The sequence below is a fragment of the Homo sapiens genome, chromosome 17 (genome assembly GCF_000001405.40).
Source record: "Homo sapiens chromosome 17, GRCh38.p14 Primary Assembly".
Lineage (NCBI taxonomy): Eukaryota > Metazoa > Chordata > Mammalia > Primates > Hominidae > Homo > Homo sapiens.
This window is the reverse complement of record NC_000017.11, coordinates 4,475,881-4,502,379: the sequence shown is the minus strand read 5'-3', so window position 1 is coordinate 4,502,379 and position 26,499 is coordinate 4,475,881. Positions and strand designations below refer to the sequence as shown.

Genomic DNA, 26,499 nt, shown 5'->3' with positions numbered 1-26,499 from the left:
GAGACAGAGCCTCACTCTGTCACCCAGGCTGGAGTACAGTGGCGCGATCTTGGCTCAATGCAACCTCCACCTCCTGGGTTCAAGCGATTATCCTGCCTCAGCCTCCCGAGTAGCTGGGACTACAGGTGTGCACCACCATGCTAGCTAATTTTTGTATTTACTTTAGTAGAGATGGGGGGTTTCACCATGTTGACCAGGCTGGTCTCGAACTTCCGACCTCAGGTGATCCACCCGCCTCGACCTCCCAAAGTGCTGGGTTTACAGGCGTGAGCCACCGCGCCCAGCCCTAACAACTTTTATATTGATTACATGTTGAAATATGTTGGATATATTGAGTTAAATAAAATATATTATGAATTAATCACACCTATTTCTTGTACTATTTTAGTCCGGCTACCAGAAAATTTGACAGGAATATGTGGCTTACATTATATTTCTTTTGGACAAAGCTGGTCTACACTATGAAAAAACAGATTTAAAGGACAGAGTTAAAGAAGGAGAGTGGGACCTCCCTTCCATCTTTGGTGGGGAGCTGGGGCCAGGTAGGTGCAAGCATCAAAGACTGAGCAATTGAGTCTCTGCATCCCCATCTCTGTCCCAGCTGGGCCAGCCAGCAACAGGTGCACTCAGGCCTGGGATGAGCACTCCCCTGGCCCTAGCACATCAAGCCATAGTAGTTACCATAGAGATAATAAATATTCCTAAAAACTGAACTTGGGGAAGTGGAGATGGGGAAATCTACCATAGAGAGAGGGGCAACCAGGCTTATCCGGAGAGGAAACCTGTGTCTGTTGTGTGTTGGGGGTGGGGTGGTGTGTGAGCTCCCACTCCAGGCCAGGAGAGGGAGGGAGGCACAGCCCAGGCAAGTGTTTGCACAGGACTTTCCGGGCCTTCCTCCCTAACTGCCCCACGCCCCTCTTAGCCACCACTCCCCACCTCCCTTTACCAATTCACCACAAATTTCCTATCTCATTCCCCCATGCTGACAATCTGACTCAGAGACCTGAGTAGAAGTGGGAGCAGATAAGTGCCAGCCCTCCCTGATCCCACCCTCTCTGGCTCTGCCCCTGGCAGAGGCAGTTCCCCTAAGAACGTCAAAGGGGGTGGTCTGGGGCCAGAAAAAAAACAAGTTGGAGAGCGCTACAGTGCCAGAAGTAGTACCATTCCTTCTTCAGCTGAGAAAGGGTGGGAAGACCTCCTCCCAGGCAGAGCCTTACTGTTAGAGCTAACACCAGCTTTGCCAGTCACTTTCCTGGCCATCTTGAACGGGGGCTGTACAGGGACATTGGTCCCCCTATCTGTGTACAGAAGCCTTTTGTGAACTGACTACAGGTCCCAGGTATTCTCTGATTTCTCCCCCAAAGGATGGCGCTTATGCTCCCAGGTCCCCGGCAGCATGGTGCATGCGTGACAGCGGCTGGCGTTTTTGGGAGGTGCTCAATATTCCTGCTCTCTAGACCAAAGTAAGTTTCTCTTTGGGATAGCTCGACCCAGAAACTGATGCCACTGGTACCCACTTCCAATTTCCTCCAGCGGAAGGACAGAGAGCCAAGGGGGGTTGAAAGCAGGAATGGGGGGAGGGGGAAGCCTCTGCCCTCCCATCAGAATTCTTCCCTTCCATTTGACACAAAACTCCATTCAACAGACGGGGAGACTGAGGCCCAGAGAAGGCACCAGGTGGCATGTGGTTTATGCCCGGGCTCTCTTCCCTCAATTGCCGCAAAGTTCTCTTTAGAGTCTGTCCAAAAATAAATCCTTCCCTCTCTCCTATCTCCTCTCTCTCTCTGTTGTGTGTGTGTTTGATAGCTCCAGATTTTACTAAGCTATAGTTACGCAGGTTCTGGGCCAGCATGCCAGGCACACAGTACTGCTCTCCTCCTGCAGGGAGCCCCTTCCTATGCCAGTCTGGCCAAAGTCCTTCCCTCTCAAAGCTCCACCATTCCCAACCAGTAGCAGCTCAGTCTAGGGCAAATTCTTACCCCTAGACCCACCCCTAATTGCTGGGGAAGGGAGCCAGCAGAAGGCAATTCCAGAACCACGTGCGTCCCCCAAAGGCCCAATGATCAATCAACTCACAAACGGGCAAACAGACCTAAACACACGCTGAGACTGGCCCAAGGTCACACACCAAGCACATTAGGAGCAAAGCTGGGGCTAGAACCCAGTTGTTCTATCGATCCCAATCCCGTCCCCAAGGCTGATTCCCAGAGATGCTCCCTGAGGATGAGGCTCCACGTCTCTAGCTCCAGAGGCCTGCGCCCTACCCTACACCCCAAGCACCATAGAGCAGGGGGAGGCGTCTCCAGGCCTCTGTACAGGGCCAGCTGCAAACCGCAGCCTGGGTCCCCAGGCGCCGCGGACCCGCCCCGCCCCTCCCTCCGCTCCCCGCAGCCCGGAGCCTTTGTCAGCCACGCGCTCACACACAACCGCGCCGCCACGCGCACACACACCCGGTCTCCCTAGCGCACACCCGCAAGGGGCGCGCGCACTCGCCGCACGCACGCAGGGGGGTGGAGGCGGCGGAGAAAGGAAGGAACTGACGGGCCATGGACGGACAGACGACCTGGGCTGGGGGAAGGGAAGGGAAGGAGGCCCGGGAACCGGCAGCTGGGGTCGGAGGGGGCGCAGAGACAAGGAGACAGAGAGACGCAGAGGAGACTCTTGGAGAGGAGGACAACGGATGGGCCGTCAAGGGCTGGAGAGGACGCGCGGGCTGCTCCAGGGGTGGGGACTCCTCTATCCCTTGGCCCCGGGTGTGTATGAGCGGGGAGCTGGATTGTACCCGTGGTGCACGGAGGCATCCCTTGCCCAGTTGTGCCTGAGCAGAGGGTCCGTAGGGACCTCACGTAGGGCCTGGAGATAGCAGGCCTGAGACCAAAAGCTCTCTGGGGTACCTCCCTCGAGGCGGGTGGTGGGATGGGGTGGGGTCTTGGTCCTCGGGCTGGGTGGGGCACTCGCTCACCTGCCACGGTGTACCTGTCCAGGTAGTTGAGCACGTTGCCCAAGCTGAGGATGGCGGCGGCTGCCCCCCGCCCGCGGCCCAAGCTGGCCGGTTTGGGCTGCTGAGCGCCGGGGCCCTTTGCAGTAGCTGCGCAGCCGGGGGTGCCGGGGGTGCCGGGGGGTCCGGTCGGGGCCCGCCTTACGCTGCCCGACAGCGTCTGCACCTCATCGCCCGCGGCCGAGACTCCAGCGCCGCCCGCGCCCCGCGCCCCGCAGCAACCGCTACCGCCAGCCCCTCGCTGCGCCCCCCGGCGCCGGCGCCGCCGCTCCGCGTCCGCCTCCTCCTCCTCCGCGCCGCCCGCCGCCGCCGAGGCGCATTCCAGGCACATCATGCCGGCCCGGATCGGGGCGGCGGGGGGCGCGGGGGGCGCGGGGCCCAGGCTGGGCCCGCTCAGCGCGTGCGTGCGCCGCGGAGCCGCCACTGCACCATCCTGGTCGGGCCCCGTCGGCTCCTGCGCTCCGGCCCCGGCTGCGGCGCTGCCACCGCTCAGCTCGCTGCGCCTCGTTCGCCGCCGCGGCTCTGACAGCTGCGGCCCGGCCCCGCCCACCAGGCCCGCGCCCAATCAGCTCCGGGCTCGGGCCACAGCCCCGCCCCGCACGTGCTGCCCTGGGGGTGGGGGGCCCGGGGACTGGGGGCCCGGGCGGCAGAGCCCCTCCTGCCAATGGGGGCGCAGTCACGCCGGGGCCGACCGGCCGCGAACGCCCGCGGGGAGCGGGAGAGGGTTTGCTCTGGCTACGGAGCTGGGAGCAGGGTGCTGGTGACGGGGCTCCCAGCACCTACTCAGTACCCTTCACCCAACCCCTGCCTCGGGCGTGGACTCCCGGCGGAGGCTCTGGGAGCCGGGCTGAGGGCTTGAGCCTAGCGTATCTGGGAGAACTGGAGAGAGGAGTCTCAGATGGCTAAAGTCAGGGGCGCCAGTTGGAGAGCCGGTGGCTCCTCCGATACTCACACGCCCGGATTTAACCAGTTCAGGGAGGGCCCAGAACCTAGACCTCCACCAGTCATGGTGGGCTGTGTCTCCCACCTCCCCAGGGCAACCCAGATCCAGCCCCCAACCTACCCCGGGCCCATTCCTGTGTGGGCACCCGGACCCTACCCTTGCCCCACAGAGTGGCCCGCAGCCCCTGGCGGGGAGAGCAAGGGCTGTGATTGGGGCCCAACAGAAACAGGATATTCAGAAGGGGCTTTCCCTCCTGAGGGACCACATCTCCAAGCTTCAGACTTCCAGGTATGTGCTAGAGAGGGTACAAAGCCCCCAGTGGCAGACAGGAGGCTGGGTCCTAGCTCAGCTCTGCCCTGGTGTGTGGCATGATCCTGAACATGACACCCACTCTCTGGGCCTCCATTTCTGTATCTGGGGGCAGATGGCAGGATGGGATTCAGTCTGGAAATCCACGGGTGGTCACCTCCCCTTGGTGGGACGGGGCGGGGGTCTGCCTCCTATGGAGAGTGGTTGGGGTGCTTCTGTGTTCCTGACATCCCATCACGGTTTCACCCCTCCTTAGAGGTGCTGTGGCTCTGTGACGATCTCCCCCTTCCCTCCCCCATTCACCTGTTTGGGGAATTAAAATCGAAATTAAAATCCTGTATAAAGTGCAGAGGACAGAATGTTAGAACTGGACAAACCCTCGGAAACCAGTTAATCATTCCCTGTGTTTCACAGACAAGTCCCAGGGCACGGACGTGACCCATTACGAACAGGCAGTGAAGCTGTGGCAGGGCTGGAGCTGCCCCAGGCTCTGGCATCATCCCCGAGGGCTGGAGCTCACTCCCCGCTAGAGGCTTTTCCGGACCCCACGTCCACAGGCAGGTGCATCTGGTGAAGCTTTCGGCCACAGTGAGTCATGGCATAGCCAACGGGTGACACAGCACGAGGCACCCCCCCCGCCCCCCTCCACTGTCTCTTGTGAGCAGAGTTAATCCCCAAGCTGGTGTTTCTTGGCGCCTTCGAGGTGTATTTTAAATTCTGCAAAGTGACTAAAAATATGCTTCAGCGTGCTGGGTATGAATGACTGTGACGGGAGGGTTAGGAAAACAGATTTCATTCTCAAAGTTGCCTGCTGCCTCTTTCCAGCTCGCTGAGCTCAGGCCTGCAAAGGCGGATGGGGGGAGTTCCCCATGGTGGCCTGGCATGACGGGTGATTAACAAACAAGGACAGAGAGCTAGGAGCTCCGTGGGGCTAGAACCCGGCCCCAGCAATGATCTCGTAAGTGTGTGATGGTGCCAGCAGGTGGACAGAGTCCAGCTGTGGGAGGCTGCCCAGCTGTGGAACTGTGTCTAGTGGTGAAGGAGGCACAACCACAACTCTAGACCCAAGCCCAGGGTCCCCTTCCCGTGCCCCAAAACTCCTCATCCCTTTGGCCACAGTCCTGTCCAGGTGGACACTTTCGGCCTTGACAGAAAGGGGAGCATTCTCTTTCTGCTGCCTTCCCTTTTCACCACTGGGAAGGTCCCAGAGCAGGGGAAGAGGGTGGCATGAGCCTTTCAAACCTGGGGGACCTCTGAGCTGCCACCAAGCAAGCCAGCCCTTCCCACTGTGTTTCACTGGGGTTTCAACTCAAAGGCAGCCTCTAGAATAAGTCCTTGTGTGGGATAAGGGGCCACCAAGGGCAGAGGGACAGGGAGGACAAGAAGCCCTTTCTGGTTGTGCAGCCCAGGACAAATCCCTACAGCCTTCTGAGAAGCTCTGGCAGTAACCTGGGGCTGTCAGACAGAGGACTGGTAGGGTTCTTTCCTCCATCTCGCCAATGAAGAAACTGAGGCCCAGGGAAAAGAAGTAATTTGCCCAAGGTCGAACACCTGGTAAATGACAGTGCATGGACTAAACCCAGGTGTGTTTACCCTCTAATCCAGCACTTCCTCCACTGCACGCTGCCCTCAGACTGGGCGGGATTCTGTTTCTTCATCAGTATAACAGGAGGCTGAACTCCGTGGCTAAAGGACCTTCTGATATTCATTCATTAGGTCTAGATCACAGCTTCAAAACAAATGGGGGCCGGCGTGGTGGCTCATACCTGTAATGCCAGCACTTTGGGAGGCCGAGGTGGGTGGATCACCTGAGGTCAGGAGTTCGAGACCAGCCTGGCCAACATGGTGAAACCCGGTCTCTACTAAAAATACAAAAATTAGCCAGGCGTGGTGGGGCGCGCCTGTAATCCCAGCTACTTAGGAGGCTGAGGCAGGAGAATTGCTTGAACTTGGGAGGCAGAGGTTGCAGTGAGCCAAGATCATGCCACTGCACTCCAGCCTCGGTGACAGAGTGAGACTCCATCTCAAAAACAAAAACAAAAACAAAAAACAAAAGTGGGGGGAAAAAAAGAAAAGAACACACACAAAAAAGAAAAAAATGGGGCACAGAACATTAATGGCCATTATTCAAAGAGCAGTCATACTTGGGAAGTAGTGGGATAAACACAGAAAAGTAGGTTTCCTTAGGGACTTTTGAGAGCCTTTACTATGAGAATACATGCTCTGAGTCTCCCAGAGGGAGATATAGGATGCCACGTTCCCAGGTGTGTGTGACCACAGAATGTCTTGCAAGACGAGAGCTCTGCAGGACACACTCTGAGAAACACTGGCCTAGAATGCACTTGCTCCTCCTTGGCTGGTAATTGGGAGCTCAGCCCATCTGCCCTCTGCCCATCCTCCCACATGGGAGTGTCTCCAGGGCTCAGGCCTCGGTTGTTTCCCTTCCCCCTTGGCAGCCTCTCACCTAGGCCTGAAATTTACTTTTTTTGAAAAAATTTTTAAGAGGCAGGGTCTCTCTCTGTCACCCAGGCTGGAACGCAGTGGTGCAATCATAGCTCATCATAACTTTGACCTCTTGGGCTCAAGGGATCCTCCTTAAGAAGGGGCTTCCTGATGCTGGGCGCGGTGGCTCATGCCTGTAATCCCAGCACTTTGGGAGGCCAAGGCGAGCAGATCACTTGAGGTCAGGAATTCAAGATCAGCCTAGCCAACATGGAGAAACCCCATCTCTAGTGAAAACACAAAAATTAGCTGGGTGTGGTGGCATGCGCCTGTCATCCCAGCTACTTGGGAGGAGAATTGCTTGAACCCAGGAGGCGGAGGTTGTAGTGAGCCGAGATCACACCACTGCACTCCAGCGTGGGTGACAGAGTGAGACTCTGTCTCAAAACAACAACAACAACAAAAAACAAAAAAACAAAAAACAAAAAAAAGAGAGCCAAGACAGACAGGAGCAAAGACAGAGAAACGGAGACTTTCATATTCCAGCCTGGGTGACAGAGCAAGACTCCATCTCAGGAAGAAAAAAATAATAATAAAAAATAAAAATATATATATAAAAAAGAAGAGTCTTCCTCTCCTGAGGATCCACACCTCAGCTTCCCAAAAGGCTGGGACTATAAGCGTGCACCACCACACCCAGCAATTTTTTTTTTAGGAAAAAGGTCTCACTATGTTGACCAGGCTGGTCTCAAACTCTAGGGCTCAAGTGATCCTCCCACCTCAGCCTACCAAAATGCTGGGGTTAGAGGGGTGAGCACCATGTGCAGCTGTGGCCTCAACTTTCAATGATCATCCATGTGACTATGACACCCCAACCTCCATCTCTAGACAGGGCCTCATCTCCAAACACGAGATCCATATGCAGCCTCCTACACGTGCCCCCCACCAGATATCCCACATGTACCTTAGGCTCAGCACATTTGAAACTGAACTTGTCATCCTTCCCCCAACCTGCTCCCACTCTGGTATCATTTATCTTTTGTCAAAAACACCATCATCCACACTGTCGCCAAGCAGAAAGCCTGGGAGCCATGTGGGGCTCCTTCTCCTCAACAGCCACATCTAAGGGCTTTCAATTTCCTCTCTTGAACATCTCCCCACGTCCACATTGCCCACTGGCTTAGCTCAGGCCTCTCTGTGTCTTACCTGGACCCTTGTAAAGCTCAACATTACCTGTTCCCACATCCCCCTCCAGTTTTGTTTGTTTGTTTTTTGAGACGGAGTCCTGCTCTGTCACCCAGGCTGGAGTGCAATGGCACAATCTCGGCTCACTGCAACCTCTGCCTCCTGGGTTCAAGCAATTCTCCTGCCTCAGCCTCCTGAGTAGCTGGGATTACAGGTGTGCACCACCATGCCCGGCTAATTTTTTTTATTTTTAGTAGAGACGGGGTTTCATCATGTTGGCCAGGCTGGTCTCGAACTCCTGGCCTCAAGTGATCCACCCACCTTGGCATCCCAAAGTGCTGGGATTACAGGCGTGAGCCACTGTGCTCGGCCGGCCCTCCAGTCGTTTCTCCATATTGCTTATCAGTCACTTTCTGAATCCCACAAAGGACCTCATCACTACCTTGAGCAAAACCTTTCTAAGGCTCTTCACTGGCTATAGGGTTAAAAATGTCTACGTTCCTGGCCGGGCGCAGTGACTCACGCCTGTAATCCCAGCACTTCGGGAAGCCGAGGCGGGCGGATCACGAGGTCAGGAGATCGAGACAATCCTGGCTAACATGGTGAAACCCTGTCTCTACTAAAAAATACAAAAAATTAGCTGGGCGTGGTGGTGGGCGCCTGTTGTCCCATCTACTCGGGAGGCTGAGGCAGGAGAATGGCGTGAACCCAGGAGGCGGAGCTTGCAGTGAGCCGAGATCGCGCCACTGCACTCCAGTCTGGGTGACAGAGCGAGACTCTGTTTCAAAAAAAAAAACTACATTCCTTAATGATCTCCAAGAGCCTTCACAACTTTTCACAACCCATGACAATCTCCAGCCTCAGATCCTACGGCCCATCTCTCAAAATTACCCTCTGCCACACTGAACATGGAGCTTCTTGAACTCACAGTTATAATACTTCCTGGAGCCTGGGGGAGGGGCAAGAATTGGGGCACTATTCTATAGCCCCTGTCCTCCTATCAACAAAAAAGCCCTTGTCCCACTAGCACAGCGATGATTCAGGACCATGGAGAGCATCCCGCGTGCAACCCCTGACCCCGACCCTGACTGAGGCATGCTCTGCCTGTGTGGCCTATTCACTCTTCCCACTTGTCCTTCAGGAACCCAGCACAGAAACAGCTTCCTCCGGGAAGCCTTCCCCGGCCCACCTGAACAACCATTTCCTCCTCTGGGCTATTGAGTAACCTGTGTATCCTTCCATCACACCAACACTGTGCTGATTTTTGTCTGTGCAAGAATCTGTCCCCCGCCCTTCACCAACAGACCGTGAGCCTCGAGGGCCCGTACCCTTTCTGATTCATCTCCACGAGCCAGTACAGAGGAGGTGCTCAAAGAATGTTTGTTGATTGAATGAGTAAATGACATTTAGCAGGTGCTCAGGAAATGTACATTGATTTGCATCACGCGTCTGTTGCTCTGAATGACTCAGAAACCAGATTCGTCTCCTGGTTCCTCTGGAAAAGGCATTTTCTTCCTGATTGACTCCACCCTCCATTAGCTTCCACCTGCTGTTTGCCTCCACCCTTTGATTAGCCTTCCCCGCAGGTCACCACCCACGGTGGGGAGAAGGCACCTCCTCTCTGCTCTTGCTGTTGCCAAGCTGAGGACTGGTTGGGGCCCCCGTTCCCTCCCCCAGCCCGAGCCTATCTTTGCTCAGAACGCTTCGTCTCTGCCTCTCTCTCCTGCTCAGAACAGATGGCTCTGAGTCCCCACTAACACAGAAGTTCCTGTTCTGCCATTTGAACATTTTTAACACTTTCTACATTACAGAAGCTTCAGTCTCTTTTCATCATGGATGCAGACTATCAGAAATAAAGACTCCACCGAAGGGCATCGAGTCCAGCCTCTTCCCCATCCCATGGAGAGGCTGCACCTCAGAGATGGCCAGTGGCCTGCCCGAGATATTGTAGTGGATGCTACCTTTGTTTTTGTTTTCTGTCATCTTGTTTTCTTTCTTCTTCTTTTTTTTTTTTTTTCCAAGAAGGAGTTTCACTCTTGTTGCCCGGGCTGGAGCACGATTTCAGCTCACTGCAACCTCCGCCTCCTGAGTTCAAGCGATTCTCCTGCTTCACCCTCCTGAGTAGCTGGGATTACAGGTGCGCACCACCAAGCCCAGCTAATTTTTGTATTTTTAATAGAGACGGGGTTTCTCCATGTTGGCCAGGCTGGTCTTGAACTCCTGACCTCAGGTGATCCACCTACCTTGGCATCCCAAAGTGCTGGGATTACAGGCATGAACCACCGCGCCCAGCCTGTCATCTTGTTTTAATTCCTGTTTTGTTTTGGTGCTGAGACTTCCTTCCTCTTCCTAACGGCACACTGGTCTGCTGGTCTTAATGCGGCTATAAACCAAGGCATGGGTATAGGATCCAAGCTAACCCAACTGGAATCTCTTGCCCAGGGCTTTAAATCTTGAGGAGGGTGGCAAAAGAATAGGGATAAAATATCTGGAGTTCTGGCACAGACCCCAAAATAATATGGCCCAGGAACCCTGGCTCCTGAATCTCCAACCTTCTCATCAATTCTATGAGTTCCTGATGTGCTTTCAATGCATCCTTTGCCTGGTAGAGGTAGTCAGTCTGTTTCCGTTGCATACAACCCCACAACCCAAACTGATATGGTCACACAGGAGCACACGCAGTCACACACCTGTCTGTGCTGAGATAAAGCATGGCTCCCGGAACCTCCAGCTGCCTGCTGCCAGCTTTGTCTGTAGAGGCTGCATTAGATTAAACAACCTCCCAAGCCCACCCAGGCACAAAGCAAAGTCAAACACTTCAGGGAATGAAACAGACCAATATTTGATGTTGCAGAGCAACAAGCCAGGGTTAGGGTGTGGGAATCCAGACACACAGGTTCAACCCCCTCAACCTTCAGGACAAAGTGGAAAAAGAGCTTTTAGGCCAGGCGCATTGGCTCACACCTGTAATTGTAGTACTTTGGGAGGCTGAGGCGGGTGGATTGCCTGAGCTCAAGAGTTCGAGACCATCCTGGCCAACATGGCAAAACCCTGTCTCTACTAAAAATATGAAAAATTAAGGCTGGGTGCGGTGGCTCAAGCCTTAATCCCAGCACTTTGGGAGGCCGAGGCAGGCAGATCCCCTGAGGTCGGGAGCTTGAGACCAGCCTGACCAACATGGAGAAACCCCGTCTTTACTAAAAATACAAAATTAGCCGGGCGTGGTGGATGCCTGTAATCCCAACTGCTTGGGAGGCCGAGGAAGGAGAATCGCTTGAACCCGGGAGGCGGAGGTTGCAGTGAGCTGAGATTGCACCATTGCACTCCAACCTGGGCAACAAGAGCAAAACTCCGTCTCAAAAAAAAAAAAAAAGCTTTACTAATACCTGTTGGTATTGGTTCCAATAGCTAGCATACCCCCATGTGGCCACACGCCAACATGGTGATGCACACACAGGTACAGGCACACGCACACAGAGATACCTCCATGCCTGGATAATACCTGACAGCTGGAATGCAGCTTATGTCTGGAAAGAGCAATTAACACATAAAGAGAGTCAGGTCAGGCTTAAGGACTCATCCTGCTGAACAGCATTTTTCCTCCTCTTGACATTCCCAACAAACAAGTCCAGAGTATTCGTGGCTGAGATTACCCAACAAGGGCCTTTAGGCGAGGAAGATGTGTTCTGTTTACCAGACTCCACTCCAGCCTGAGTGGCTGGGTTCCCCCAGGCTGTTATCGTAACCTCGACCCACCAGGACTGGCCCCAAAGAGGCAGGAGGTGGGAGTCTGGGTTGGCTGCAGAGGAGATATTGGTCTCTGTCACTTGCCGCGTCCACCAGCCCCAGAGCTCCCACTCTGCCCCAAACCACTTTAGACAATAGCTTCCTATAAACTCCCAGCTGGGCACCTCGTGTGGCTCAGCCTTGGGAAGTACCGCCTTGCCCTGCCCAGCAACCCAAATATCAGAATGCACTTGAGTCATAAGAAACTACCCTGGATTATAGGATTAAAGCCCCAGCTCCTGGACCTACATCTGACGCCCCTCTGATCCCAGATGGCCTCTCTCACCTCCTCTCCCCGCTCAATGACACACGCACCCTCCTCTCTGGCCATACCACACCCCTCCATGACTCACTGCAAATCTTCTGCCCCACTCTCCCCCTCTTTGTGGGTCCATCCCCTGCATCTAGAATTCCCTTTGCCCCCCACCTTGTTACCAACTCCAAAGCCACTTCCTTGAAGGCTTCTGGGGCACGGAAGCCCTTACTCTGCCCATAGGTGTGCCACACTTGCCTGTCCTGCTGTGGGCTGCGAGGTCCAAGGGCAGGGCTGGAGTCTGATTCACTGCTGGACACCCTGATGGGCACCCGCCGATACCAATGCATGTTTGTAGAGTTGGCATGAACGAGGTTCTTGCTCTTCCTCTACTGGACTCTGGGTGGGGAGGTGGCAGCTGGTGTTCTTTTTTTTTTTTTTTTTTAAGACAAAGTCTCACTGTGTCACTCAGGTTGGAGTGCAGTGGTGCCATCTCCCTTCACGACGAACTCCACCCCCCATCCCCAGGATCAAGCGATCCTCCCACCTCAGCCTCCCAGAGCTGGGACCACAGATGCGTGCCACCACGCCCAGGTATGTTTTGGTATTTTTGGTAGAGACGGGGTTTCACCATGTTGCCCAGGCTGGTCTTGAACTCCTGACCTCAAGCAATACATCAGCCTCTGCCTCCCAAAGTGTTGGGATTACAGGCGTGAGCCGCTGTGCCCAGCTGAGTGTTCTGACCCTTGGGCGGCCCTCACTCATTTTCCGGGAGCCTCGCCTTGCAGGGGTCCTCCCTGGGGCTGTTGGGAGGAAGGTTCAGACCCTGGAGCTGGGCTTCTGTGGGTCTAGACCCAGCCTGTGCTAATCACATGAGGCCCAGGCTAGAAAGCCATGTCAACACACCTCTCAAACACAGCCAGGGAGTCAGGGAGCCACCTAGGTCACACAGCCAGTGAATGTTGAGAGGGACCGTGGCATCCTGGCTCCTGCCCAGTTGCTGCCTCCTTCTCAGGAAAAACAAAATATCCTCACAGATCTTTTACCTTGTAACTTGAAGGGCTGCCTGTTGCATAAGCTCCAAGCATTGAGTCACGGTCAAGGGCCTGGCTAGCCTGCAGGGAGGGCTGGCTGTGGTGCGGCCCTGCTCCTGGGGCTTGTTGCAGCCAACAGGGAGGGCTGGGGGGCACCCCACAGAAGGCAGGGACAGAGCAGCAAGCATCAGGGGCTGCGCAGGAGTCTCGGTCGTTGCTCTGCCTGCAGCTGCTGGGAGACAGGCACAGCCTGGCACAGCGAAGGTGGCCATCGGTGAGTGAGCAAGTGATCGCCTGGCTGGGCACCAGGGGAGGCGGAAAGAACATGAGAACAAGCCTCCCCACTGCTGCCCGCCTGGAAGCTGTCGATCTCCCACAGGGCCCGCTGAGCCCAGCTGCTCTGAACCCAGTGGCAAGCGTGGGCCCCGCAGAGCCAGCCCTCCCCATACGCTGTGCTGGGGTCAGAGCGTGGACCCAGGGAAGACCGGGGCTACAGAACTGGGCAGGCCAGGAGGATCCCTGCACGGCCACTCAAGTCCTCAGCAGGGTTCTGGGGCCGCTGCGCCCGTGTCTGTATAGGCGTGGGTTCCTCTGCGTGGTTCCCTGGAACTTGGAGCCACATCCCCACCCCAGCACCCAAGTGGAAACTCATCTCCAAGAGCAAGATTCAGCCCCCACGTTTTGTTCAAAGGGTGGAGTTGGCTGGGCACGGTGGCTCATGCCTATAATCTCAGCACTTCGGAAGGCCGAGGCTGGCGGATCACCTAAGGTCAGGAGGTCAAGACCAGCCTGGCCAACATGGTGAAACCCTGTCTCTACTAAAAATACAAAAATTAGTTGGGCGTGGTGGCACATGCCTGTAATCCCAGCTACTTAGGAGGCTGAGGCAGAAGAATCTCTTGAACCTGGGAGGCGGAGGTTGCAATGAGCCGAGATTGCGCCACTGCACTCCAGCCTGGACAAGAGCTAAACTCCATCTCAAAAACAAAACAAAACAAAGAGTGGAATCACGTAGAGGGTGTCCTGTGCCTGTGACTTTGCAGAATGGAGAAGCTGGGTCAGAGTGGGAGGTCCAGGCTGCGGACCCCTAGAGACCCATGCTGAGCCAGCCCCCCAGCTTCCCCACTTCAGGACAGCCCTGCATCCTTGGCCTGGACTGCCCATCCCGTCCTCACCCACTTCCCCTCCAGCAGAGGCACGAGAGGCTATAAATAACACGGCTGTCTACAGGCCCAAAATCCATGGGCTTTGTACTGGCCTCTCTTTATTCAGGGCCCAGCAGCAGCCAGGCTGGAGACCCCAGGCTGGGGCAGCCTTGAGCGGGATGCAGGCACAGGCCCAGGCCTCCCACGCAGAGTGCTGACAGCTCCATTCCCAGCCCAGCCACAGGGTCCTGCCAGCTCTCCAGCCGGGAATTCAAAAGTGGCAGATGTGCCTCAGCCGGAGTCCCCGAGGACAGCCAAAGAGGAACCGAGGCACTGCTGCTGTGGGGACCAACGGGAGGCTTGCAGGCAGGACGAGTGTAGGCAGGGACCTCAGGGCTCCTCTGTAGAGGCGCCAGCGCCCGAAAGTAGGCCTTGTCTCTCCAGGTCGTTGCTGTCCACATCATTGCTGTCTGGGGTCCCTGCAGGAGGAAAGATGCTCAGCCTGCCCGAAGGTTGCAGAAGGTGCTTTGGGACCAGGCCTGGGCCTGGGCACGGGCTGTCAGGAAATCCTCTCTGTCCCAAATGCAGAATACATTCCAGATCCAACCCCTTGTCATCACCTTCAATGCCACTGGCGTGGTCTAGGCACCACTCTCCCCTGGAAGGGGAGTCGGCTATGCCTCTCGGCCTCAACACTGACCCTCCTACAGTCTGTTCTCAACACAGCAGCCAGGGAGATGCTTTGGCAACATCAATCAGACCACCTCGGTGCTCCTCTCCTGGAAGCCCCACAGCAGCTCCCGTCTCACTCTGAGCAAAAGCCACTGTCTTTACAAGGACTGCCTGCTCTGGCCCCGTATCCCTCACCCCTACCACTGTCCCTCTTGCTTCTGCTGCAGCCACACTGGCCTCCTTGCTGATCCTCAAACATATCAGGTGCATTCCCATGGCAGGGCCTTTGCATTGATTGTCCCCACTGCCGGAAGCGTCTTTCCCCAGGTCGCTGAACGGCTCACTCCCTCGTTTCCTCCAGATCTTTGCTCTAGTTTCGCCTGTGCAGTGGGGATCCTTGCAGCCTGCACCTACCTGTCCCTTTTTTTTTTTTTTTTTTTTTTTTGAGACAGTCTTGCTGTCGCCCAGGCTGGAGTGCAGTGGCGAGATCTCAGCTCACTATAGCCTCCGCCTCCCGGGTTCAAGTGATTCTCCTGCCTCAGCCTCCTGAGTAGCTGGGACTACAGGTGTGTGCCACCGCACCTGGCTAATTTTTATATTTTTAGTAGAGACAGGGCTTCACCATGTTGCCCAGGCTGGTCTTGAACTCCTAACCTTGTAATCCGCCCGCCTTGGCCTCCCCAAGTACTGGGATTACAGGTGTGAGCCACCGCGCCCGGCCCCTTTCTCCTTCCTTTCCTGCTTTATACCTCTCCATAGCACTCGTCACCCTGAACATGCTATATCTTTAACCTTTTCTGTTTCTGGTCTGTCTTCACCAACTACAGTGTCAGTTTCTACAGGGGCCTGGACTTGGCCTCATTCTTTCACTCCCCAGCATCTGCAACCTTCCCTGGTACATAGCAGGGGTGTACTAAGCATTTCTGGATGAATGAACAAACAAACTGGCCAGGGATTCAGGGGGTGGCCAGTGCTGTCTGTCCCTAGGGTGCCGGCCCTGAGCCGGGCCTGGTGCAATGGGTAGGGTACCTGTGACAGGCTGCCAGGCCCGGGTCTCGTCTCTCTCCAGGTACAGCGCAGTCAGCAGGAAGCAGCCGCCCCCCAGGGCGATGACAAAGGCGCAGCACAGGAAGCTCTGCTGCAGGCTGCGGAAGCGCTGCAGATAGGAGTCAGGGCGCCTGGCCCGCAGGACACTAGAGATCTGCGGAGGAGAAGGGATGAGTCTGCCAGGCCCACCAGCCTGGCCCCCAGACCCTCCCCACCCCACACACGCAGACACGTCTTACAAGTCCTGTGAGATAGGGGCTGCCAGCGTCTCCCAGGATGTGGCCCACCGTGATCTGAAGTGCCTCTGCCGTCCCCCGGCATCTGGGCACCACCACAGACTGCAAAACATAGGCACAGCAGGGGGGCACCCCAAGTGAGGGCACCCTTGCCTGCTGTTCCCCACCTGCCAAGGACCTGCCTGGAGGAGTGACAGGCCATTCAGGTGAGTGGGATGGGAGGGAGTCGACGGTCCCCAAGGTCTAAAGTCCCACCCCAGAACATCAAGACATCAAGCCCATCTGAAGCTTCCCCAGTGCCCCAGGATGGGGGTGCCAAGGCCCCTGATCAGGGCCACCCCTCTTGAGAGTTTGCTCTTGAACTGGGAAGGAACCAGGCATGCATGTGACCACAGTGAATGAGGCTGGGGTGTCCCAGCTCAGGGGCCCAGGATGCAGCAGCACAAGCGGGCAGGGCGAAGAGCGGGTGCATGCCAGGTGTCTGCATGTGCAGGCAATTGGGCAGGGGTGGTACGGAGGGCTCAGTCCTCTCAGGAACCTCAAGGCCCCTGGGGCAGAGACCAAAGGCGGCCTTGCTGGAGAAGCCCGCACGACTCCACGGACAAGGCTGAGAACATAAAGAAGATGAACTCTGGGCCAGGCGCGGTGGCTCACGTCTGTAATCCCAGCACTTTGGGAGGCCAAGGCGGGTGGATCACCCGAGGTCAGGAGGTCAAGACCAGCCTGGCAACATGGTGAAACCCTGTCTCTACTAAAAATACAAAAACTAGCCGGCGTGGTGGCACATGCCTGTAATCCCAGCTACTCGGGAGGTTGAGGCAGGAGAATTGCTTGAACACGGGAGGCGGAGGTTGCAGTGAGCTGAGATCGTACCACTGCAATCCAACCTGGGCAACAAGAGCAAAATCCCATCTCAAAAAAAAAAAAAATAAAAAAAATAAAGAACTCTGGTGTCACACACTCAGGTTCCGATCCAGATCCCCACTCGCTAGCTGTGTGACTTTGAGCAAACTGTTTCACCTTTCTTCCCTCAGTCTCTCCATCCCCAAGTGGGGGTAATAATGGTACTGATCTTGAGAGTTTTATTCATTATCGTTATTCGTCTGCTACCTGGAGGCTTCGTGTGGACATCAGACCAAAATAACGCTCTGAGACAGGATGCTCCAGGCCCTTGAACTCAGCTGCGCCTTCTGCCTGGCGTGCCTTCCACTCTCTGGTCCAGCTGGAGCATCTATATTTGTCATTTAGGACTTACGTTTCGGTCATCTCCTCTGTGAAGCCCTCTCAGAGTTCAGGTACCTGCCCTGAGCTCCCGCAACTCCTATGCACACCCCTAATTAACGCATGTCTCCCAGAACTGGGAGGGGCCCTTTCTCTGTCCACCACCCCTTATTCCCTATGTTGTGTGGGCAACAAAGACCCTTAATTTCTCTTGGGGTCCCTGCAAGACACCAGGCACAGAGGGGACTAGCTGAAAGTTTGCCAACCAAATAACTCAAGTAGGTCCATCTGGGAGACTATTCCCAGGAGAAAGTCTGCCAGAACCCAGGGCTACAGCAGGGGATGGAAGGAGGGAGGGGGAGGGGACTCAAGCAGAGACCACATGGTCACATGAACCCAACTGGACAGCCACAGGGGCGCTTACACCCTGGAGCCGTATCCCCAAGACCTAGGTGTCCATGATCTGAGGCCTTGAGTTAATCAATATTAGCTGGGCACAGTGGCTCACACCTGTAATCCCAGCACTTTGGGAGACTGAGGCAGGTGGATCACTTGAGGTCAGGAGTTCAAGACCAGCCTGGCCAACATGGCGAAATCCCATCTCTACTAAAAATACAAAAATTAGCTGGGTGTGGTGGCGCGTGCCTATAATCCCAGCTACTCAGGAGGCTGAGGCAGGAGAATCGCTTGAACCCGGGAGGTGGAGGTTCTAGTGAGCCGAGGTGGCACCACTATACTCCAGCCTGAGTGAAAGAGCAAGATCCTGTCTCAAAAAATAATAATAAAATAATAATAATTGCCAACATTTATTGAATGCTTGCTGTATACATTTTATATATCAACTTGAACAACCCATGAGAGGGAGATGATGATCACCTGCATTTTTACAGATGAGGAAAACCTCCACAGGGAGGGCAAGTGACTTGCCCAACATCACCCAGCCTGAAATAACAGGGCTGAGAGAGGATTGCAGGCCTTCTCCCTCTAGGATCTGGCCTTTTGACCACTCTGCTGTGATGGGCAAGGAGGAGCCGGTGTTTCTAGCAATATTTATGCATTTGTAATAGAACATTCAGAAATCTGAGAAAGATGAGGAGGACAAGTTCATCACTAGCCCTGTAAACGGATGGCAGAGTAACTGGCAAAGAGACGGGGAAAGGCATTCCAGGCAGGGGACAGTGTAAGCGACGGTGTGGAGGGAGGATCCCAGGGACACGATCTCTGGATTCCAGAATCCCAGGGGACAGATGCAGGGGGTTTGGTGGTGGGCAGGGCAGAGTGGCAGGAGGCACTGTAGTGACTCGCTGGTCCCAGGGTCACTGGGACTGAGCCACCATGTACAGGTGGCAAGAGAAACCGGGCCTCTTGCCATCACCAGGATCTGTCAACAGGCCTGAGAAGGAACTGACCAACAGCTTTGCACCTTCCCCAAGGACTTCCTTCTCACCCCATAATTATGTGATTACTCACTGGTGGCTCTGGGAAGGCAGGTGAGGCTTCCTGGAGGGAGGAACCTGAATGTTCAGAAAGGTCCACATGGAGGCTGGGGCTGCTGGGACCCCCACAGTTAGGTCCAGGTAGGCTGGCCCCTTCCTCCTCTCCCAGGAACCCCAACCTGCTGGGCCCAGCTCAGTCACTGCTGCCAGTGGCGAGAGAGGTGGGTCTCCCCCAGCCTGTTCCAAGTCCTCATTGTCTCCGTGCAGCCAGCAGCCAAGGCTGGGCCCACAGAAGCTGGAGAGCCCAGGGGGTAATTTCAGAAATAAGAGGCTTTGGGTTCCCAAAAATCCAGGCTCACTCTATTCTGAGACAAAAACACCTCTGTTTCTGGCTCTCCCTTCTTAGAAGGGCCGTTCCCTTTATAGCCGAGGGCGAAACCAGGGCCACCCAAGGGCTTGCAGCAAGTCGGAGCAGCAGCCACCAGGCAGCCTGCCTCCTGCACCCCCACCCAGGCCTCGCCCCCAGACGCCCCTGAGAGGGTGAGACAGGCCAGTGAGCAGACAGCTACCTGGGGGGCAGAGGCTGAGCAGGGAAGCATGGAGACCTGGGGCAGGGGGAGAACGCAGAGGTGACAACTCTCCGGGGAACTGTGGGGACGTCTGCTGAGGGGTGGGAGATGAGCCTGTGGCTGGATTCCAGGACCCCAGAGGACAGGGCTGAGAAAGAGGGAATGAGCTCCCCTTCTGCTCTAGCCCCCCAACTGGTTGGGATCCAGAGATCGTGCCCCTGGGATCCTCCCTCCACACCTTTGCTTACACTGTCCCCTGCCTGGAGGGGGATTGGGGTGAGCTGGCTCTGGGCCATCCTGAGTGGGGCGGGGACAGACAGCAGGGCTGGGAGGGAGCTGAAGACCTCATGACTAGGTTTCGGGAGGCAGGGAGCTCTGCCTGGGGAGATGCGGGTTCAGGGGACACGATCTCAGTCTCCAGGGAGCAGGGCCCCTCTATGGCCCAGCGGGGCCAAGGGGAGGCTGGCAGAGGTGGGTCTTGGCTGTGACTGAACCAAATCATTTTCATCAACAGAAACCCCCCGAGAGGCAGGGGCTGCCCGAGGTATGCAGAACGAGCTCCCCATTGGAGGCGTATGTCAACAAGGGGATGGCTAGAATTTGGCAAAGCATTTATGGACTGGGGAGCTTGCGGCGTGAGACCAGTGTTCTCAAAGCGTGCTCTACGGAATGCTACGGCAGGATCACTTGGGAAGTTCATCAGAAATGCAGGTCCCTGGACCCCAGCACGGACCCACTGAATCAGACTCAGAGGACACAGGGCCTGGAATCTGGGTTTGTCACAAGCTCCCTCAAATCTGACTCTCATGCACAATGACGTCTCCAAGCCACCGGACCGGAGAGCCCCTGAGGTCCCTTCTCCAGAGATAACCTGGATTCTCCCCATTGTGGAGATGGCATCAAAGAGAACAGTGTCCTGGACAGGCGCAGTGGCTCACACCTATAATCCCAGCATTCTGGGAGGCCAAGGGGGGCGGATCATGAGGTCAAGAGATCGAGACCATCCTGGCCAACATGGTGAACCCCGTCTCTACTAAAAATACAAAAATTAGCTGGGCGTGGTGGCGCATGCCTGTAGTCCCAGCTATTCAGGAGGCTGAGGCAGGAGAATCGCTTGAACCCAGGAGGCAGAGGTCGCAGTGAGCTGAGATCGCACCACTGCACTCCAGCCTGGCGACAGTGCGAGACTCCGTCTCAAAAGTAAAAAAAAAAAAAAAGAGAGAGAGAGAGCAGTGTCCCAAGGAAGGGATGATCTGGAAGTCAGTGGGGCCCACACGCCCACTCAGGAATCTGCAGGACGCAGGTGTGAGTTCATTCTATCCTTATAGCCTGGGGTGTCAATGGTGGTTGCCACCGCTCTACCTACTGGACAGGTGAGCAAACCAAGACCCAGAGAGGTTCAGTCACTTGGCCAGGGTCACACAGCTAGTGAGGAGCCAGGCTGGGAGTGGGAGCAGATGGGCTGCTGCAGAGTCCTCGAGCCTGGGCTCTGCTGCCCTCTGCCCTCTGACCTAACCCACAGGCTCCAACCACCCAGACACCTGCAGTTTCCACCCATTTTCCTATCAGCTCCTCGTGGCTTTCTTGGCCGCCCAAAGCTGTTCACGTGAACGTGCCCTGCCCTTAGCTTCCTGCTCCCTTGTTCTGTGGACCCTGTTCACACACACCCTAAGGCCTCCTCCCTCCCTGGGCCCCTGCTGAAAGAGAAGCCGATCTCCTGTCTCAGGAGCCAGTGCCGGCCGGCAAAGGGGACCTTCCTCTACTTCCTGCCACAGACCCTGTCCCCACACACTTCCTGCCCCTGCTCTGCTGGGAGGCCACTTCCTCCCCCAGTGCTGGATTCCACCCCCAGCTCACCCTCAAACATGGCCCCCTCTCTCCTCCTGCTTGCCCCTCTCTGCTCCCTGGAGGCTGTTCTGTCCTCCCCTCTTGAAAAGCAATGCCAGCTTCCTGGGATCTTCTGCCAACTCCAGCTACCATGCCCTTTGCTCCTGTCAGCTCAGCTCCTCAAGGGAATTGTCTACCCTCGGTGTCCTGCTTCCCCTCCCTCACCCTCCTCACCCTGCTCCAAGCTGGCATCTGCCCCTCCACTGCACAGAACGGCTCCCCCACCACCTGCCTTTACAGGGAGGAAGCAGCAACATGGAGGAACCGAACTATAGGGGCTACAAGGATTGCTCAGCTCTGATCCCCGAAGGCCAAAAGGCATCTTTGGCCACGGGGCTCCGGGCAGGTGGGAAGGCAGGGAAGGGGGCGGGAGGCTCTGGGATGGTGGTGCAAAGCATTGTGGCTGGAGGCCTCCAAGCCAAGGAAGGGCCACAGGGAGCCCTGAGGTGGGCTGGTTCCTGTCCAGCCGGCTCCCTGGGCAGCTCCCCAAATGGGTAAAACTGTGCAGCTGGCCAGCCCCTAACCCTCCTTCCACCCTTCCCCCACCCGCCCTCTCCAGCACACACTCTCCTCTTTAACCCCACAAAGAGCCTGGCTCTGCCAGGTTAATCATTCTTACAAATGCAGACGCTGGGGGACACGGGTGCAGCCTTCACATATCTGTGGGGCTGTCATGTGGAAGAGGGAGCTGCGCCGTGGGGGGCAGGCCAGGGAAGCTGTGGGGGCAGGTGCAGCTCTGTTTGGACCACCTCAGAGAGAACCAGCTATGCTGGGGGGATGTTAATCTCCCTGAGCCTAAAAGTGGACAATCCCATGAATAAAACATTTGCCAATGCCTTCCCCTTTCCTGAGCATTCCTGGAGGCCGCCTTGCTCACCCTACCGGGCAGGTGGTGATTACCCCTTTTATAGACAAGGAAACTGAGGCCCAGGGCCATGTAGCAGGTCTGCGGCTGACTCTGGGCTGGAGCCCAAGTCTCCTGTCTGGAGGGAGGGGCAGGGAAGACCTGCCAGTCCTGCAGCTGATCCACTCACCCAGGAGCCAAAGACAGGGCAGGCCTCTCCACACTCGCTGGGCCTGGGCCGTGGGGAGGGGTCAGGGGATCTGCCGGGGAGGGGCAGACATCTTGGCAGGGAGTGAGCACCCCATCCACAGTAGTATTCAAGCAGGGTTTGTTGACAGATTCAACGACTATACATGCCCATAACCCTTTCAAACCCAGATTCTAGGGCACCATGATTTCTTTGGGGGATAGAAAATGAGAAAATGGAAAATTCCGGATTGCTGTGAGAATCCTAGCCAGCATTCTCTGTGCCAGGCAGATGGATCTTCTCATTTCACCCTCACATCAATCCATAAGGCAGGTGCCATTATCATCCCCACTTTCCACATCCGGATACTGAGGCTCAGAGACACACAGTGACTTGCCTAAGGCCACACAGCCCATAAGTGGCAGGACCAGGGCTGACAGCCAGGTCTGTTTTCTGAATCCAGGCTGGTGCCGCGGCATTGAATGCCCTCAGGACAGCTCTCAGCTGACTGCCAGTCTGGTCCATTTCCCTTGTGGCCAGCACCAGACTGTGCCAGGCTGCCAGGAGGCAGAAGGAAGGCTCTCAGGGTGCTCACAGGCCCAGGGCCCTGCGTTATCTACAAAGGCACAGCCCTTCATGTGTTCAAAGTCCTTCCCTGTATGCCTCCCAGAAGGAGGCAAGGAGGCTGGACGAAGAGCATGGGGCTCAGGGAGGGGCCGTGTGGGACTCTGGACCAGCAGCCATGTGGTCAAGACAGTGTCAGGCCTCTTACAGGCAGGGCTGATCCTTGCATGGCAGCCTGTGACACACGAGCTGGTGTGGGCTGGCACAATGGGCCTCAGTGGCTACTGCCCTGAAGGATGGCATCCCGTCTGCACGCCCCAGAGTAGAGGCCAAGGAACCTGCTTGCTGAGAAGCAGTATGCTACAGAAAGAAGGAGGGAGGGGCCAGGCACGGTGGCTCACGCCTGTAATCCCAGCACTTTGGGAGGCCGAAGCGGGCAGATCACCTGAGGTCAGGGTTCAAGACCAGCCTCGCCAATATGGTGAAACCCTGTCTCTACTAAAAATACAAAATTAGCCGGGCATGGTGGCGGGTGCCTGTAGTCTCTGCTACTTGGGAGGCTGAGGCAGAAGAATCAGTTGAACCCAGGAGGCAGACGTTGCAGTGAGCCAAGATCAGGCCATTGCACTCCAGCCTGGGCAACAAGAGTGAAACTCTGTCTCAAAAAAGAAAAGAGGGAGGGAAGTAGCCCAGGGAGTCAAAATGCCTAGGTTCCGGTCCTGGCTCCCTGCGTTGGGGCTGTGTGACTTTGGAACAGGCACCTGCCTTCTCTGAACCTCCATTTGTTCATCTGCAAAATCGGGATGATGGTCAGAGATGTTTGAGAGTGTCAGAGAGGCCTCTGGTCCAAGATAACCGTGAATGGCTTTGGTCCCCTAATGTATGGTCTCTGATGTCGCCGCCAGTGCCCAGCTGCTCAGCAGCAGAGGCCCAATCCTCTCCAGCTCCCCCTGCTCAGCCCACCACCCCGACTCCCACACCTACCAGCAGGATGTCGGCAACCACTGCCCAGTTGCAGGACAGAAGCAGCTCCCCAAGGCCCAGGAACACCTGTGGACAGAGGGTGGCCTGGGTGAGGATTCCCAGATCCCAGTCACCAACCCCACCTGTTGCTTCCCACCTGTGGAGAGGAGAGACTGGGACGCTACAGAGAAAGGCATTATTGAGACTTATTGGAGTGAGCGAGGAAGGCCTAGAACTATTTTTCCAGTTCCAGCAGCCTTGACGGTAGGTAGACAGAGCCAGGACCCATAAGCGAGTGTCCAGCCCCTGGAGTCCCTCGCTGGGGCCCAGGAGGAAGCAGCTAGGCCTCCTCCCAGGCCACTTTTAAAGGTAAGAAAACAGACTTTAAGCCAGGCACGGTGGCTCAAGCCTGTAATTCCAGCACTTTGGGAGGCTGAGGTGGGCGGATCACTTGAGGTCAGGAGTTCAAGACCAGCCTGGCCAACATGGTAAAACCCCATCTCTACTAAAAATACAAAAATTAGCAGGGTGTGGTGGCTCACACCTGTAGTTCCAGCTACTCAGGAGGCTGAGGCAGGAGAATAGCTTGAACCCAAGAGGCAGAGGTTGCAGGGAGCCGAGATCACACCACTGCACTCCAGCCTGGGTGACAGAGTGAGACTCCGCCTCAAAAAAAAAAAAAAAAAAAGGAAAAGTGAAAAAAAAACAGACTTTAGAGGACAAAGAGTAAAAGACAACTCGGAGGCTGTCCACCCCTCCTCTGTTTTCCCCAAAAGTCCGTATACACTGATAAGGCACCTACCGTGTGCCAGCCAGCGTGCCCAGCCCCAGGCACCCCACCAAAGGACCCTCCGGGCCATCCCCTTCCCTTGGAGCAGCACAGGGAGGTGGGCGAGGCCTGGTACACCCATCATGCGGACAGTCAAACCGAGCCTGGTCGAGGACGGGGCTTGTCTGGGGTCACCAGCTGCCCCTGGGTAAAGCCTGCTTGGAATGTGAGGCTTCCGGCCCCTGCCCAGTGCCCACCCCCAGCCCTGCTCCCAGTGTCCTCTGGTTACAAGCCCAGAACACGCCCCCTGCCTTCACCTCGTGCCAAGGGATTAGGACAATCCTCATTCCCCTCACTCAAGAAGAGTTTAATGAAGCAGCAAGAAGAAAGAGAGAAAAAAAGAGTCTCATTTCTCAAAGCTTCCAAGAGCTTATTGCAGGGGTGGAATTAGTCATTCCTGGATCACGGGGCTGTCCCCAGGGTAGCCCAGGCTCAGGCACCCAGAGACCTGATGATCAGTGGCCAGGGAGCACCCAGGATGGAGGACCTGAAGGACTGCCACCCAAACACCTGCCACGCACCAGCCCTGTCCTCTCTTGTGACCCTGTCTAACCCCTCAGGTCAGGTGCCCTGTAAGGCAGACGTCATTACACCCATTTCACAGACAAACTCAGGCCAGAGGGCATGCATCAAGCCACGTCCTGGTGAGCGCCCCCCACCCCCCACGCCGTGATGGCCTGTGCATGGTGAGGTTGAAGAGGCCACGGGGGGAAGAGGGGAGTGGGGGTTCCCAGCATCCACAGTACCTGGTGAGGCTAGCACTGGGGAATCAGAGGACACCCCGAGATGGGCAGGGGGCCCCTGGACAGAGGTGGCGCCAGGGAGAGCCCTGAAGGACAGTCAGGATCAGGACGGGCCCAGGACAGCCACAAGACCACGCCAGCCGGGGACCCACGGGAGCGGAGGCAAGGAGCTGGGATGTGGCCACCATGCCGGGCGGGACAGGAACGCGGCCCAGCTCTGGTGGAGGGAGAGCAGAACCAGCCAAGGAGTCCCAGCAGCCATGCGCTCTCCTGGCCTAACCCAGCCCCTGGGACTGCAGTGCCTGGTCCCTGGCACCCAAACTGAGAGGCCCCTGAGGGCAGGTGGGTCTCCCTCAGGCCTAGGACATGGGGCCGGGCACCCACAGGGGCAGGAATCAGGAAGTCGCTGGCAGGCAGGTCTCAGGCGGGGCCCGGGCAGCTGCGGATCCACATTCCAGCCTAGCAGGGTCTGCCAGCTGCCTCCTGGGGCCACATGAAAGCCCAGCCCGACTCACACCCATCTCCCTCTGACTTCTTCCGGGCACCTGCACCTGGCCCTCCAGGCCTCTCCCCCCTTCACATTGCCAGCGTCTGCCTCTGTGACCTCTGTGCAGCCCAGGCACGCTGTCCCCCAACCAGCTCCCCGTTTTGCTCTCCCCGGCCACCCCACACCCATAGGACATGCTGAAATACACCCTTTCCTTCCTCCAGCTGGGACAGGGTGGATCCCGGCCCCAAAATAGAGCCCATCAGAGGGAGGCTGCAGCTACAATGGGGCCTTTCAGGCTGAAGAAGCCGCCCGACGATGCCAGGTCTCCTCAGACACACCTGGAGGCCGGCACCGCACCAACAAATCCTCGTCTCCACTTGGCAGCTTTGAGGGGCAAAGGGCTCAGCTGCGGAGAGGCCACCTTCTAATCCTGTAATTACAGTCTCCCGGGGCAGCGGCCACCAGGGCTGACTCAGCTCCAGGAGGGGCTCCACAGCCAAGGGGTGTGACCTCCTGGGGTGGACGGGCGCAGCCCCACCCTGCCTTGCTGAGCGGGCCTGGGGTGGTCCCCGCCTCTGGGCCTTGGTTTCCCCAACGGTACGACGCCAGGGTGCCCCAGATGCTCCACCAGGGCCCTTCAGCACCAGCAGCCCCTGCTTGTTAAGATGGTAACCCCGCTTTGCACTGGGGCTCCTCACAGGCCAGTGCATGCTGGG

General features: G+C 56.6%; 2 protein-coding genes and 2 long non-coding RNA genes across 17 annotated transcripts in view, besides 10 other annotated features; 2 read left to right on the top strand and 2 right to left on the bottom strand.

The window, feature by feature from the left end:
- The window catches only part of SPNS2 (SPNS lysolipid transporter 2, sphingosine-1-phosphate), a 40,155-nt gene extending 36,656 nt beyond the window's left edge, over nt 1-3,499 (bottom strand). For both annotated transcript variants that reach the window (XR_007065260.1, NM_001124758.3), the window contains exon 1: nt 2,963-3,499. Coding sequence is in view for 1 of the 2 variants with exons in the window: in NM_001124758.3 (NP_001118230.1) it covers nt 2,963-3,332 (370 nt within the window). In the remaining variant the exon portion in view is untranslated. The remainder of the gene's footprint in view (nt 1-2,962) is intronic.
- Nucleotides 2,065-2,699: an enhancer, noted in NCBI's record as "H3K4me1 hESC enhancer chr17:4402976-4403610 (GRCh37/hg19 assembly coordinates)". NCBI's record gives its function as "activates a minimal SCP1, AML or CMV promoter by ChIP-STARR-seq in naive H9 embryonic stem cells {active_cell/tissue: H9 hESC(naive)}" and the evidence as "EXISTENCE:reporter gene assay evidence [ECO:0000049][PMID:30033119]".
- Nucleotides 2,700-3,335: an enhancer, noted in NCBI's record as "H3K4me1 hESC enhancer chr17:4402340-4402975 (GRCh37/hg19 assembly coordinates)". NCBI's record gives its function as "activates a minimal SCP1, AML or CMV promoter by ChIP-STARR-seq in naive H9 embryonic stem cells {active_cell/tissue: H9 hESC(naive)}" and the evidence as "EXISTENCE:reporter gene assay evidence [ECO:0000049][PMID:30033119]".
- Nucleotides 3,377-3,426: a silencer, noted in NCBI's record as "silent region_8041". NCBI's record gives its function as "represses an Ori minimal core promoter by ATAC-STARR-seq in GM12878 lymphoblastoid cells {active_cell/tissue: GM12878}" and the evidence as "EXISTENCE:reporter gene assay evidence [ECO:0000049][PMID:35858748]".
- Nucleotides 3,487-3,636: a silencer, noted in NCBI's record as "silent region_8040". NCBI's record gives its function as "represses an Ori minimal core promoter by ATAC-STARR-seq in GM12878 lymphoblastoid cells {active_cell/tissue: GM12878}" and the evidence as "EXISTENCE:reporter gene assay evidence [ECO:0000049][PMID:35858748]".
- Nucleotides 3,645-12,507, top strand: SPNS2-AS1 (SPNS2 antisense RNA 1). Of its 4 annotated transcripts, none has more exons than XR_001752763.2 (3): nt 3,645-4,229; nt 4,665-4,838; nt 12,389-12,507. It is a non-coding gene; the product is annotated as an SPNS2 antisense RNA 1 (long non-coding RNA). The 4 variants fall into 4 exon arrangements; XR_001752762.1 differs by lacking the exon at nt 12,389-12,507 and adding an exon at nt 9,019-9,850 and having other exon boundaries at nt 3,664-4,229; nt 4,665-5,833; XR_007065584.1 differs by lacking the exon at nt 12,389-12,507 and adding an exon at nt 5,076-6,048 and having other exon boundaries at nt 3,664-4,229.
- Nucleotides 3,647-3,706: a silencer, noted in NCBI's record as "silent region_8039". NCBI's record gives its function as "represses an Ori minimal core promoter by ATAC-STARR-seq in GM12878 lymphoblastoid cells {active_cell/tissue: GM12878}" and the evidence as "EXISTENCE:reporter gene assay evidence [ECO:0000049][PMID:35858748]".
- Nucleotides 11,530-12,729: an enhancer, noted in NCBI's record as "CDK7 strongly-dependent group 2 enhancer chr17:4392946-4394145 (GRCh37/hg19 assembly coordinates)". NCBI's record gives its function as "activates an origin of replication core promoter dependent on BRD2, BRD4, P300/CBP, MED14 and CDK7 cofactors, with strong dependence on CDK7, by STARR-seq in HCT116 cells {active_cell/tissue: HCT116}" and the evidence as "EXISTENCE:reporter gene assay evidence [ECO:0000049][PMID:35650434]".
- Nucleotides 11,719-12,219: an enhancer, noted in NCBI's record as "H3K4me1 hESC enhancer chr17:4393456-4393956 (GRCh37/hg19 assembly coordinates)". NCBI's record gives its function as "activates a minimal SCP1, AML or CMV promoter by ChIP-STARR-seq in primed H9 embryonic stem cells {active_cell/tissue: H9 hESC(primed)}" and the evidence as "EXISTENCE:reporter gene assay evidence [ECO:0000049][PMID:30033119]".
- SPNS3 (SPNS lysolipid transporter 3, sphingosine-1-phosphate (putative)) overlaps nt 14,176-26,499 on the bottom strand; it is a 54,265-nt gene continuing 41,941 nt past the window's right edge. For 6 of the 9 annotated variants that reach the window (XM_047435588.1, NM_182538.5, XM_011523725.1 and 3 more), the window contains 4 exons: nt 23,743-23,808; nt 16,054-16,152; nt 15,797-15,968; nt 14,176-14,574 (listed from right to left, as the gene is read on the bottom strand). In XM_047435588.1, coding sequence (XP_047291544.1) covers nt 14,486-14,574; nt 15,797-15,968; nt 16,054-16,152; nt 23,743-23,808 — 426 coding nt within the window. In that variant the 3' untranslated portion in view covers nt 14,176-14,485. Of the gene's footprint in view, nt 14,575-15,796; nt 15,969-16,053; nt 16,153-17,160; nt 17,282-23,742; nt 23,809-26,499 lie in introns of those variants that run through there. The other 3 variants (XM_011523724.1, XM_011523723.1, XR_934008.1) reach the window with 3 other exon arrangements.
- Nucleotides 15,858-15,937: an enhancer, noted in NCBI's record as "active region_11541". NCBI's record gives its function as "activates an Ori minimal core promoter by ATAC-STARR-seq in GM12878 lymphoblastoid cells {active_cell/tissue: GM12878}" and the evidence as "EXISTENCE:reporter gene assay evidence [ECO:0000049][PMID:35858748]".
- On the top strand, nt 15,928-22,000 carry LOC124903899 (uncharacterized). 2 transcript variants are annotated; one of them, XR_007065583.1, is made up of 2 exons: nt 15,928-16,256; nt 19,791-22,000. It is a non-coding gene; the product is annotated as an uncharacterized LOC124903899 (long non-coding RNA). The 2 variants fall into 2 exon arrangements; XR_007065582.1 differs by lacking the exon at nt 15,928-16,256 and adding an exon at nt 18,550-18,848.
- Nucleotides 20,652-21,407: an enhancer, noted in NCBI's record as "H3K4me1 hESC enhancer chr17:4384268-4385023 (GRCh37/hg19 assembly coordinates)". NCBI's record gives its function as "activates a minimal SCP1, AML or CMV promoter by ChIP-STARR-seq in primed H9 embryonic stem cells {active_cell/tissue: H9 hESC(primed)}" and the evidence as "EXISTENCE:reporter gene assay evidence [ECO:0000049][PMID:30033119]".
- Nucleotides 25,030-25,898: an enhancer, noted in NCBI's record as "H3K4me1 hESC enhancer chr17:4379777-4380645 (GRCh37/hg19 assembly coordinates)". NCBI's record gives its function as "activates a minimal SCP1, AML or CMV promoter by ChIP-STARR-seq in naive H9 embryonic stem cells {active_cell/tissue: H9 hESC(naive)}" and the evidence as "EXISTENCE:reporter gene assay evidence [ECO:0000049][PMID:30033119]".